Source organism: Homo sapiens, chromosome 9, assembly GCF_000001405.40.
Source record: "Homo sapiens chromosome 9, GRCh38.p14 Primary Assembly".
Lineage (NCBI taxonomy): Eukaryota > Metazoa > Chordata > Mammalia > Primates > Hominidae > Homo > Homo sapiens.
In genome coordinates this window covers 20,892,453-20,907,244 of record NC_000009.12, presented here as the reverse complement: position 1 = coordinate 20,907,244, position 14,792 = coordinate 20,892,453, and the positions used below count along the sequence as shown (strand labels likewise).

The window sequence follows — 14,792 nt, the reverse complement described above, 5'->3', positions numbered from 1 at the left end:
ACCTGTAAAATGGCATGATAAGCTCGATTCATGTATGCAAGCCAGGCCTGTGGAAGAAAAATTGCACGGTGCCACTCTGAAAGCTGGATATGAACCTATGGGAAAAATGTACCACAACATATTAGGCTACACAGTATTAAAAAAGAATAAAATTAAAACTGTTTCATCAGTTCTTTCTTTTCCTTAAGTGGTTTAGATTCTGAAAACAAACCAAATCAGTCTAGGATCAGAACCACAAATAATATCTTTTGGATATTCCTAAGGAGAAGAGTTTAGAGTCTTGTGAAGACAAAATAAAGTAAGCCTAGAATTTTGTAAATTGAAGCAAATAAAATCCTACAATAATAACAAGTTAAAATGTACATGTAATACAAATCAACCCTCGAAAATTAGGGGGAAACTCTGTAAGGCCTCTTGCCAATGTCAGGAAACTTGGCATTGTCTAACAAACCCCCGTAGTAATTTTAAATAAAAATAAATATTGCTCATATCCTGGATTTCCAATATGACCATTCTGAAGTAATAAATTTATATTGCCAACAGAAATATCATGTTGTGTAGAAACCACAGTGGTAAGAGCAGGCAAATGAGTACTGCACACAGCAATTGTGCACACCACTAGATAAATGGCCTTTAATCAGTGTGGGTAAACAAGAGACAAATTATATATACCAACATGCAAACCCTGTTTCTCAACAGAGGCCCAGACAAAACATCTGGTTCTCATAGTCATTTCTGTTTCTACCTATTAGTACATGGCTATCTTGCAACAAATCTTCCCAAGGTCTGCTTCTGTTAAAGAAAGATCAATCAAGAAAAACAGTCACAGTGCATCACATTTCATGATTCCTGTAACACATCGAAAGTCAAACAGCTACAACTTTACTTTGTGTCCTACAGACCAAAAAAAAAAGAGAGAGAGTGAGAGAGAAAACAAATTTGTATGTAATTACACCAGAATCATGATAACTAGTGTTTAAGGACATTTTATTGTATTATAAGAATTAATATTCTCAAGTGCCTTGTGATAGGGAAGATAAGAAGATAATAGCCTCTCTGAATATAGTTGGTTCCCATGGCCTCTAGTATGTTCTTTAATCCCAGTCTTAGTGAGGGCCTACTATATACAAGGTACTGTGGAAAGATGAGATTATCAATCAGTCTGTGTCTGCAGAGACTTTTCCACCTAGTGAGAGACCCAGAAATGGACACAAATAGGAAGAATCCATGGGAATAAAAAGAACAAAGAGATTAATTCTTACTGCTATCTATTACTTCTCATGGCATTGCTGTTTTTAAAAAAAAAAAAAATCTCAAACAGTATAAAACAGATACTCAGCCATGAAATGAACTTAAAAGTAATTATAAAGACAGGACTTTTCCTGAATAAGTACTACAACGAGCAGGGTGAGGGCAGCCTTGTCAATAAGTCAACATAAATCCTTGAAGGAATGAGTCCTCCAGCTCTTGCTTCTTCTCCTGTTATCCAGGTGGCAAACTACAACCTAGGCTCTATTTCCAGCTGGCAAGGCATTAATCAGGTCTTGGCTCTGCTCTTTATTTCCAAAATGTGGGCAATTTTCTTCAACTTTTTTCCTATCAGTTCTGTTCCCTTTTCATAAAATATATTAATTATCTTCGAGCCCTATTTTGACAGCTGGATTTAACAGAAACAATACTCAATCACCACAACCAAAATGTTTATCTCTTACTTTACAAGCTTAAAATATTTTTAAATTTTTGCCGAATAATCCATAGATATCATTGTACTACTGAGAATACCCTTAGCCTCAGCAAATTGGCAAAAAGAGCAATTTGCAAGGAAGACAATGGTCTCACAAATGCTTTTTAAACTTGAGTTTAAAAAAGGAAAGGATTATGGAAAAAATGTAAATGAAAATGAGCAAATCAAATGTTTAGCCTCTAAACATGAAAACATTCATGCCAGGAAACCTATTTAAAAGGAGGTTATAAACTCAAGGTTAAAGCTAATCCTCTTCCTGCTGCTTCAACCACAGCTGAAGGTGGGTACAGGAGCACAGTAGAAAGCTTCAGCCTAGAAGCCAGCCTGAACTCCCCACGTTTTATGGGATTATACCCTAGACTTAGTGTTCTATGGAGTCAGCTGTGCACAAATCTCTTTAAAAATGCACTTTCTTGCTTTTTCTCTTAATGAAGACAGACTTTAGAGAAACAGCTTGAAGAAAGTCATGCCCTTACATTCCCATTGTGTCACAAGCAAAAAGGACTTCCCTGACCATTTTTAACAAAAACACATTTTAGAATGCTATTTCAATTTAATATACTGTATAGTCAGCCACATTGCCTATATTTTAGGTTAATGTTGCTAGGGTGAAAAATAAATTCAATTAGCATTTATAAAGTATGACAATTATGTCCAATTTGCTATACTTGTGAGAAGCCTTTGAAAAAAATCCAATCAACAAAATAAGTTCAAATCATGAAGTTGCAACCTAGTTATTCAGCAGATGATAAAGTAGGGTTCTCAACCACTGTCTCACTCAGTTTTAATGAATGTGTGAAATTTTTTTCTATAACTACTCATACTCTTGCAATGACAGCTATCTGATGGAGCATTGAGATGAACAGTCCTATGGCTTAGGGAAGACTAACAGTCAAGTTTCAATGTGTAAGAGGCAGTGAATTATAATGAAATACTACACATGTGCCCAAAGAAGAGCCCACAATAGGAGTATATACATGGGAGGGAAGAATGCTAATGAGGTGAGGGCAGGGATGCGAGAAGGTTACAGGGTTAAATAGGGTGGTTAGAGTAGATCTTGTAGAGAAGGTAAAGTATGGGCAAAAACTTGGAGGAGGTGAGGATGTAAAGACCAAAGTAAGTGCTAGTGGGAATAAAAAATGGTTCAGCTGGTATGGAAAACACTTAATGGTGGTTCCTCAGAAAGCTAAACATAGAAATACCATATGACTGAGCAATTCCACACCTAGGTATATACCCAAAAGAACTGAAAACAGGTATTCAAACAAATCCATGTATATCGATGTTCATAGCAGCACTTTCACAATAGCCAAAAGGTAGAAACAATCCAAATGTCCATCAACGGAAAAACTAGAAGAATAAAATATGTAATATGCATATAATGAAATATTATTCAGTCACAAAAAGAATGAAGTACTGATACACTATGGCTGAACCTTGAAAACATTATGCCAAAGTGAAAGAAGTCAGGCACAAATGGTCACGTGTTATATGATGTCACTTATATGAAATATCCAGAATAGGTAAAGCCATAGAGACAGAAAGTAGATTAGTAGCTGCCGGGGGAGAGGGGAAGGAAGACAGGAAGAAACGAGGAGGGAATAGAAAGTGGCTGTTTCATGGGTACATGAAAGGAGGAGATTGAAATGTTTTGGAACTAACATTTCCAAATAGAGGTGATAGTTGTACAACATTGTATATGTACTAAATGCCAGTGAATTGCACACTTTAAAATGGTTTGTTTTATGTTATGTGAATGACACCTCAATTTTAAAAAATGGTAACGCAAAGGTCCTGGGCAGGCATACAACTGACCTGTTTGAGAAAGAGAAAAGAGGTCAGTCTAACTACAATAGACAAAATGAGCAAAACAGAGAGTAGAAAGAGAAAAAGTTAGTGAATTAACGGGGACCCAGAGAATTCAGGGCCTTCTAGGGCACTGTTCAGGACTTGCTTTTATTCTTACTAAAGAGAGAACCATTATAAGCTTTTGAGAAAAAGAATTACATGATCTAATTTATATTGTAAAAGGACAATACTGACTGCTCTGTTGACAATAGACTGTAGGTAGCAAAGGTCAACACAAGAAAACCTACTCAGACGCGACGTCAACAATCCAGGAAAGAGATAAAGGCAGCTCAGACAGAGCTTTATCAGTAACACAGTAGAATGATGATTTTCAAACATTTAACTATGTAATTTTTCTACCCTACCCCAAATTCAATATAAAGTAAAATGCCAATATATAAGACAGAAAACCGAAGTAAAATTTGTCTAGATGAAGTGAAGATGAGGCTAGGAGCCTGAAGTTCAGCCCTCTTGGTCATGTGAGATTGTTAGGAGATGGAGGTGGGGAAAGGGCCTGACTAGAAAGGAGCATGGGGAAATGTTTGAGGGTGGTAGAACCTTCTCATCTTGACCGTGGTGCTGGTTGGAGGAATGTGTGCACTTGCCAAAATTCATACAACTAGACAGTAAAATGTGAGAACTCTAGTGTATTCATATTATACCCAAATAAAAATAGAATTGAAAATACCTAGTTTAAAAAAATCACAAGTTTTAGAACATGTACTTCTCAAACTTTCACCTCTCACCATCTATTAGACTTTGCACACTTCTTTGTCATCATCATTCGAAACCCACTCTTCCTGTTATCTTTCCTGTTCCCATCAATATTATCTATCAATGTTCCAGTTACCCAAGTTTGAAATTTCTGATTTATCTTGGGAATCTCCCTTGCCTTGAGACTCAATTCTTGAGTCTACTTCTGAAATATTTAATATATATGTCCCAACTTTTTCCTTTATTGGTTTAGTCCTATCTGATTCCTGCCTAGATTACTATGATCTAGTAACTGATCTCTTAACAGCTTAAAATCTTTCCTTGTCCTAACACATCCCCAATGGTGCTACCCTTACTGTTAATACATTAACTCAGAACTTTGCAAAACCTTTGATGGTTCATTAAAGAATAAAGCCCAAACTCTTTTGTATAATGTTCAAAGTCTTTTAGAATTACCTTAAGAAATAACTGCTGGCCAAGACCTTTAACCAATTTCTCCACCTGATGTCTTGCTCCTCTCTTTTATATAACCTACATTCTGGCTGCATCAAATTACGAACCGATTCCCAAGCTTGTCTTATACTTCACAGGACCTTTGCACTCACTGCTTCCTCTTCCTTGAATGACCGATTTTCCTCTCATTTCTACTTACTGAAATAATTTTTCTCATCTCCATACTTCCAGTATATATGTGCCTCTCCCACAACACTCCACAGATTCTGTCTTTAGATCTTAATCTCATACAATCCTAAGGAGCAGAGGTCATGTTCTATTCATGCTGGAATCCCTCCCATGGTACCCATAACAGTGTCTTGCACATAAGTGTTCAATTAAGGACCTGCGGAGTTTAACAGAACTAAATATGTAGCATCCTCTTTAAGACAAATTCCTATCGTGTGAAAATCATACTATCATAAGCAAGTATTTGTAGAAAATTATGGTGTTCAAGTTGTGATCATTCTGGAAACACAAAATTTAAAACTTTTTTTAAATAGGCACAGAGTTGTTGAGAAGACAGTTTTGCAGATTTTACAAAAGCAAGTCTAAAATGTTCTAGCCAGGAAAGGTTTAATTCCAGATAAAAACATATTGAATGACACAGTAAAATTTTAAAGCAGATATTATAATTTTTATATATTGAAATTCTGTAAACTTTTAAATCTGTATGATGTAAGCTTTAATTAAGTATATTTGAAATACTATCACAACAGGAAATGTTCTGCTTAGAAACATAATTCGCAATTGTAGGGGAATGATGGGAGAGAAAATGAAAAGGTAATCATGTTTCCTCATACATGTTTTACTACAAGGGACTACATATCCATCTAGTTAGTTAATTTACAGTTCAGAATACTTTGTTCAAAAATTTGTTATTGCATTCCACCTCTTGAGTGATCTTAACAAATATGCTTATTCCATCTACAAGAAAATACTCATTATAACAGCCCTTCATTAAATACTATAAATCAGGTAACAAACTTTGATGGCATTCTTTGATTGTCGAACTAGAATGGGATTGGAAGAGTAGCATGTAAAAATTGACAAGTAAACTAAGTATTTGCTGTTAATTTTAAAACCCCAATCTTACAAAGGCATTTTTCATGTTTGCCACATGTAAATGTTATTATCAAAATAAATGTATTTAACTTCAACTGCTACCCAGACACACATATGCATACTGAACCACTACATTTAGCTTTATGAGACACACACACACACACACACACACACACACACACACACACATTGTTTCCACATTCCCAGAAAAAAAAACCATTTGCAACTGGTATTAGAGACCCCAAAAGCCACTCAATATCCTATTGTTTATATACAAGAAATAATGGGCTTCAGTATTCCATCAACAGTAATCTTGTTGGGGCAAAATAATTTTTTGTTAGACCTGTCCTCTGACAGATAGTGAGAAGAAGAGAAGGGAGGACACTTTTTAAAGTAAAATGACACTCATCTCTTCCTAGGTGTTTTCTGGAAATTTAACATTCTCTCCCCAACCTTTTCTCCTTCCTTCCCTCTTTCCCTCCTTCTCTCCTACCTCTCCACTGTTTCCAATCAGGGTAACATTAGCTTGAAAGCTGACAATTAAGCTGACAATTCAGTCACATCTCAAGCAACCATTTATTCTGTTATTTAATAGAAGGGGAGAAACCCAGTTACCATAACAACTCACATCCACATGGTAATTATGGAGTATCTAAAATACAGCAAACCATACTTTTCACAGTATTTTCTAGGGGAAATGTGTAATAAGCACAGATACCACTTCTCCCCATTATTATTCACAATGTTCACCTAATTGTTTCATATTGCACAGATGCTAACATTATTCCTTGTACTTCATATCAAATATGTTTTTTAAAATAAAGATGACACTGAAAGAAAAAGGCAAATACACTTCTTATATTTTAAATGATTGGTTACAGCATATGTACTTTTCTAGGGAAAAAATTTAAAGGAGGCAGAAAAAAATTAATTTATTAGGTAAAAAGAATCAAATGATTATCACTTGAAAAAAAGAAGAAAGAATGTAGAACTAAAGATTTTATTTAGAACAGAGCTGCCAATAGGTCTGGATAAGTTTTCTCTGAAATAAAAATGAAAAGAGAGCTCATTACCTAATGCTGAGGCGGAAATATGGTTGGGTAGCAGCAGCAAGAACAGGAAAATTTGCATGTGCCCAAGAAAGGAGAAAGTAATGAATCCAGACTGCCATTCTCATCCAGGGAGAAATCAGCATCAGCCAATTTAGGTGAGAGTGTCATGTCAGAGTTAGAAATGCCAAGGATAACAAGACTGGCAGCAAATTTCAGGGAAGGAAACTATCATTCACCTTCAGCTTCCTCTGCAACAGGAGTCAAGTAAACCTCAGGATGAGAAGTAGGTATACATAAGAACAAAAGAGGAACGCCACTTGAGCTTGGAGAAGCCCTAGCACATCTGAAATGACCACTGCATGTCCCCTGTACAGAGGAGCAGAGAGAGAGGCCACTTCAGTTTTGGAGAAGTCCAAACAAGACTGTCATTCTGCAGAACTGCTCCTGGTATGTCAGGCCAAACCCAAATCAAACTTGGGTCTATGATTCTTCTAAAAGTAACAGGGGAGAATTTCACTTTAAGAAAAGACAAAAAAAATCCAAAGTTTTTGAAAATAAGAGGATATAATACTTTCCAAGGAAATTTATCACAGATTACATTAAACAGCTAGCTCTCCATAGCATTGAAAATTACTTAGTTTAGCAACCATGTAGCTCAAGAAGTATCAACAATGAACACAAAACAAAATACATTTCAAAATATGGAAAGCGAAGGTTTCTAGTCCAGCCTGTAAGGAGCTTGGAAGTCACTACTCCATCTTAACAACAAGTAAAAAGCTGAACAAACTATAAAACCAACAACTGTTATGAGATCTGTAAAAGAAAATCAGGTCACAGAGCAAAGTGCTACTCTCAAAGTTGGAGAGACAGACAGGCAGCTACAGAGAGAATCACAGCTTATCAAAGCAGAAACTCACAGACAGAAACCACCACAGTAACTAGGGCTGGGGCAGGAAAACCTGAATCATAGCTGATGAATGGCTGGAGGCTAAGAATGGACAAGTCTGAGAATTAAAAACTCTAGGTGTACCCAGGCATAGGGAGGGTCCCCACACCTTTATGAGTTTTAGCTCCAGAAGCTCAGTCAGTTCTCATAGTGAATATCAGAAAAAACTCACCTTGTGATCACAGCAGGGAGAGGGGAAAAACACTTTGAAATATAACAGCATTCTATTCTTAACAAGGTCTGCCATCAGAAAAAATCTATTTAACAGAGCCTAACCTAATAAGAGTTTTATCAGCACCTAACCAGCCTGGGGGAAAGCAATACCCATCTCCAAGATCCTCTAGCCTTCTAAGTGGGTGAAGGGAAACAGACAACTCTAGCCCATTCTAGCCATCCTATCCCACCTAAGGAATTAAAAAAGAGAAAAAAATCCAAATCCTGAGAAACACTTGTGAAAGTTCTAGGCTCACTATGAGATTGAGACCTAATTATAGGGTTATGGAATGACTCTACTCCCCCAACACCTTACCACTACATTACTAAAGACCTATTTACTTTATTTCCTTTTACCTAGTATGTTATGTCTGGTTATCAAGAGACAACTACAAGGAAGACTAAAAGGTAAAATACATAGCTTAAAGAGACAGAGCACATATCAGAACCAAGTAAGGATAAGCAGGGATGCTGGAATTAACAGACCGGGAATTTAAAGTAACCATGACTAATGTGCTAAAGGCCATAAAAGATAATAAAGACAATATGCAAGAACAAATTAACAATGTAAGCAGAGAGATATAAAAACCAAAATAATAAATGCTAGAGACGAAAAGCATGGTAACAGAAATGAAGAATGCTTTTAATGAGCTTATTAACAGACTGGACACAACTGAGGAGATAATCTCTGATCTTGAGGATATCTCAATGGAAACCTCTAAAACTAAAAAGCGAAGAGGAAAAAGAATAAAGCAAAGAAAACAGAATATCTAAGAACCGTGGGACAACTACAAAAGTTATAACATACACATAATAGGAATTCCAGACAAATAAGCGAGAAAAAAAAAACAGAAGAAATGTTTGAAATCATCTTGAGATGCTCCCAAATTAATGTCAGACATCAAACCACAGTTATAGGAGGCTCAGACAACACCAGGTAGGATAAATGCCAAAAACCTATAGGTATTTGTATATTGTATTTAAACTACATAAAAGCAATGATTTTTTTAAATTCTGAAAAAAGCCAGAGGGAAAGATACCATACATATAGAGAAGCAAAGATAAGTGTTATATCCATCTTTCTACCAGAAAACATGCAAGCAAGAAGAGAAGAGAGTGAAATAAAGTGCTGAGAGAGGAAAATTACAACCTAGAATTCTGTACCCCACAAAATGATCCTTCAAAAATAAAGGAGAAATAAAGCCTTGCTCAGACAAGCAAAATTTGAGAAAATCTGTTACCCGTACATTTCCCTTGCAGGAAATGTTTAAAGTTTTTTTAGGGAGTAAGCAAATTATAGAGATCAGAAGCTCAGATCTAGATAAAGAAAGGAAGGCATCAGAGGAGGGATAAGTGAACATGAAATAAAACTTTTATTTTCCTATTCTTAATTGATCTAACAGATAACAGCTTGTTAAAAATAATAATAGTAGTCATGTATTTGATTATATATGCTTATGTATAAGTGAAATGAATGACAGCAATGATACAAGGAATGAGAGAAAAAAATTAGGATTATTTGTTATTATAAAGTATTTGCACTACCTGTGAAGTGGTATAGTGTTGTTTGCAAGTAGACATAGTTGTAAATATATATTGCATACTGTGTGGCAATCATTTAAAAAGTAAAAAGAGAAACATAACTGATATGCTAACAAAAGAGAAAAAATCATACAAAATGTTCAGTTGAAACCGTAAGGACAAAAAAAGAATACAAAAGCAGAATAAAGAACATGAGCAACAAACAGAAAAAAAAAACAGTAACAAATATAGAAGATATTAATCAAAATATATCAATAATCATTTTGGAAGCAAATTAAGATTGTCAAAGTAGATCAAAAACCAAGACCCAACTACATGTTGTCTACAAGAAATCTACTTTAATGTAAAGACACATACAGATAAAACGTAAATGGATAGAGAAAGACACTATGCTAACATTAATCAAAAGAAAGCAGGAAGACCTATATTAATTTCAGACAGAGCAGACTTGACAACAAGGAAAGCTGTCAAGAATAAAGAGGGACATTATATAATAAATGGGTCAATTCTCGAAGAAGACATAACAATCCTTAGAGTGCATGCACCTAATAACAAAGCATCAAAATATATAAGGCAAAACCTGATAGAACTGCAAGAAGAAACAGATTAATCCACTCGTATAGCCAGAGACTTCAACACTTCTCTCTCAGAAATGGACAGATCCAACAAGCAGAAAAGCAGTAAAGACACAGTTGAACTCAAAAACACCATCAATCAACTGGATATAACTGACATCTACAGGCTATTTTATGCAACGGCAGCAGAACACAAATTCTTCTCAAGCTCACATGTAACATTCACCAATACTGACCACATTCTGAACCATAAAACACACCTTAACAAATTTAAAAGAACCATAACACAGACCTTAACAAATTCAACAAATTTAGAAATTAACATCAGCAGTGAAAGACGGGATATCACTACAGACTCTCTGGCCACTGAAAGGATAATAAGGAAATAATATATATAACTCTATGCCCACAAATTTGATAACCTAGATGAAATGGGCCAATTCATTCCCTGAAAGACACAATCTGCTAAAACTCACATGAAAAAAAGATATATTATTTGAATAGGCCTGTATCTATTAAAGAAATTGAATTGACAATTAATAACCTTCCAACACAGAAAGCACCACTCCCACATGTGTTCACTGGTGAACTCTACCAAACATTTAAGGAGGATATCACACCAATTCCCAACAGTCTCTTTCAGAAGGCAGAAGCAGAGAGAATACTTCCTAACTCATTATATGAGGTCAGCATTACCCTAAAATTAAAACTAGACAAAGGTATTAACAAGAATAGGAAATCTCACAGCAATATCTTTCATGAACATAAATGTAAAAGGCCTCAACAAAATATACGCAAATTAAATCTAACAATGTAAAAAAGAATTATACACCACAACCACATGGATTTTGGTACACAAGACTAAATCAATATTAGAAAATCAATTAATGTTTATTCCCACATATCAACAGGGTAAAGAAGAAAAATCACATAATCATATCAATAGATGCAGAAAAAGCATTTGACAAAATCGAACAGTTTTTCATGATAAAAACTCTCAGTAAACTAGAAATAAAGAACTTCCTCAACTTGATAAGAATATCTACAAAACACCCACCGTTAACATCATAATTTTGAGAAACTACAAGCATTCCCACTAAGATCAGGAGCAAGGCAAGGATGTCCTCTCTCACTATTCTTTTTCAACATCATACTGGAAATCCTTTCTACTGATGTAAGCCAAAAAGAGAAAGTAAAATGTATGCTGAAGGGAAGAAAGAAAGAAAATTGTCTTTGCTTGCAGATGACATGAGTGTCTATATAGAAAATCTGAAAAAGTTGACAAAAAACTCCTGGAACCCATAAGCACTTATAGCAAAATTGCAAGATACAAGGTTACAATACAAAAATCAATTGCTTTCCTATATGACAGCAATGAAAAAAATAGAAGCTGAAATTAAAAACACAATAGCGTTTACATTAACACCTCCAGAAATGAAATACTTATGTATAAACCTACATAAATAAATATATCTATATATATACACATATATATGCGCAGACATATATATATGTGTGTGTATATAATATCTATAGGAGAAAAATTACAAAATTCTAATGAAAGAAATCAATAATGAATGAAATAAATAGAGAAATATTCCAGGTTCATGGATTTTTGAAAGCTCAATATTGTCAGGATGTCAGTTCTTCCTAACTTCATCTATACATTCAATGCAATCACACTCAAAATCTCACCAAGTTGCTTCCTGGATAACAACAAATTGATTCAAATGTTCATATGAAGAGACAAAGGACAAAGAAGAGCCAACAAAATACTGAAGAAGAGCAAAGTTGGAGGACTGACATACCTAACTCCAAGACTTACTATAGAGCTACAGTAATCAAGACAGCATGGTATGAGCAAATGACGAGAGAAATAGATCAAAGAAACAGAATAGAAAGTCCAGAAACAGACGTATATAAATGTAGTCCGTTAATATTTGAGAATGAGTCAAACAATGGAGAAAGGATAATCTTCTCAACAAATGATACAGAAACAACCAGATATCTTGATGCAAAATAAAAAGAATCTAGACCCTGACTTTACACTCTTCATAAAAATTAACTCAAAATAGATTATAGATATCAACGTAAAACACAGTACTGTAACATTCCTAGAAGATAACACAGGATAATATCTATAATGTTAGGCTTGATGACAGCTTTTCAGAAACAATATCAAAGGCACTATGTATTAAATAAACAATGGATATGCTGGACTTCATTAAAATAAAAATCTTCTGATCTACAAAAGGCACTGTCAAGAGAATAGATAAGCCATAGACTCTAAGAAAATATTTGCAAAAGGCAGATCTGATAAAGGACTATTATCCAAAATATACGAAAAAAGTCTTAAAACTCAACTATGAAAAACCTAACAACCAGATTTTAAAATGGGCCAAAGAAATAGACACACAGATAAAAAATAAGCATATACAAAATGCTTCACATATCAGGGATATGCGAATTAAAATAACAATGAAATGTTATTCTACACACCAATGAGAATGGCCAAAATCCAGACCACAACACCAATTGCTGACAAGGCTTTGGAGCAAGAGGAAGGAGATGCGAAATGGTATAGCCACTTTGGAAGATGTTTTGGCCATTTTTTACCAAAACCAAACACACTCTTACCATACAATCCAGCAAGTGTGCTCCTTGGCATTTACCCGAGAGTTGAAAATTATCTTCAAACAAAATTCTGCACAAAGATGTTTAAAGTAGTTTTATACATATTTGCTAAAACTTGGAAGCAACCAAAATATCCTTCTGTAGGTAAATGGATACATCAACTGTAGTATTTCTAGACAATGGATTTTTATTCAACACTAAAAAGAAGTCAGCTGTCAAGCAACGAAAATACATGCAGAAAACAAATGCCTAATACTAAGTGAAATCAGCCAGTCTGAAAAATCTATATACCGTATGATTCCAACTACTTGACATTCTGGAAAAGGCAAAACTATAGAGACAGTAAAAAGATCAGTGGTCACACGGAGTTAGAGAGAAGGAAGGGATGAATGGGAGATTGCAGAAGGGTTTTAGAAAGCAAAACTACTGTGTATGATACTAAAATGATTATATGATTATATGCATGCCACTATGCATTTGTTCAAACCCATAGAATGTTTAACACCAAGAATAAACCCTAATATAAACTATAGACTTTGGGTAACAAGAATGTGTCAATGTAGGTTCATTATTTGTAACAAATATACCACTCTGGTGGGGGATAATGGGAAGATGAGAGGTAGGCATGAGGGCAGAGTGAGCAGGGAGTTGTATGGGAATGCTCCATACATTGCTCTCAATTTTGCTGTGAACCTAAAACTGCTCTAAAAAATAAAGTCTGTTTTTACAAATGAGGACAGAGCACATCTAAATTCAAAATAAAGTTCTTTTAGCCATTTATTCACTCGCTCACTCACTCTCATGTAGTTGTAGCCATTGTGAAGGGTATAGAATATCCTGTAAGGATATGGATTCTTTAGGGGCTGTTATTAATAGAAATGAATAACAACACAAACAGTACATAAGGGCTTATTCACATGCCAGTAAGATCCTATTTCTTAGTAAGACCACCGCAATCATTAGATTTATCACTAATTTAATAGTAGCATTTTTGGAAAAGGAAAACTATCCCACTATATGTACACAGGAAGTACAGGCACACCTCAGACAGGTTTGGTCCCAGACAAATGCATTAAAGCTAATAATCCAATAAAGAGAGTCATACAGTTTTTTTTGTTTCCCAGTGGATATAAAAGTTATGCTTACACTATACTATAATCTATTATGTAACAGCATTATGTATTTAAAAAAAACAATGTACATACCTTAGTTTTAAAATACTTTGTTACTGCTGGGCATGGTGGCACATACCCGTAGTCCCAGCTACTCAAGAGACTGAGATGGAAGGATCCCTTGGGCCCAGGAGTTGGAGGCTGTAGTGTTCTGTAACTGCACCTGTGGATAGTCACTGCACTCCAGCCTGGGCAACATAGTGAGGTCCTATCACTAAAAATTTTTTTTTAAATATTTGACTGCTAAAAAATGTAAATAATTATATAAATCTTTGGCAACTCCTAATATTTTTGTGAGTGGAAGGTCTTGCCTGGATGTTGATGGTTGCTAACTGATTAGGGTGGCTGATGAATGTTGGGATGGCTGTGTCAATTTCTTAAGATAACAATGAAGTTTGCTCCATTGCTTAATGTTTCCTTTCACAAAAGATTTCTCTGTATCATGCAATGCTGTTTGATAGCTTCATCCATAGAACTTCTCTCTAAGGTGGAATCAATCCTCTCAAACATTGATACCACATTATCAGGTACGTTTATGTAATATTGTAAATCCTGCATTGTCAGTTCAACATGTTCACAGCATCTTCACCAGGAGTAGATTCCATCTCAAGAAACCACTCTGTTCATCCCTAAGAAGCAACTCCTCATGACGGTAGCAGTTCAGTCACATCCTCAGGCTCTACTTCTAATTCTACTTCTCTTGGTACCCCTCCCACATCTGCAGTGACTTCCTCCACCGAAATCTTGAACCCCTCAAGGTCATCCAAGAGGGCTGGAATCAATTTCTTATAAATA

General features: G+C 35.2%; 1 protein-coding gene across 19 annotated transcripts in view; it reads right to left on the bottom strand.

Annotated features, from left to right (window-relative positions):
- The window catches only part of FOCAD (focadhesin), a 340,326-nt gene that overhangs the window by 88,706 nt on the left and 236,828 nt on the right, over positions 1–14,792 (bottom strand). For all 19 annotated transcript variants that reach the window (XM_047423537.1, XM_047423539.1, NM_017794.5 and 16 more), the window contains one exon: positions 3–95. In XM_047423537.1, coding sequence (XP_047279493.1) covers positions 3–95 — 93 coding nt within the window. The remainder of the gene's footprint in view (positions 1–2; positions 96–14,792) is intronic.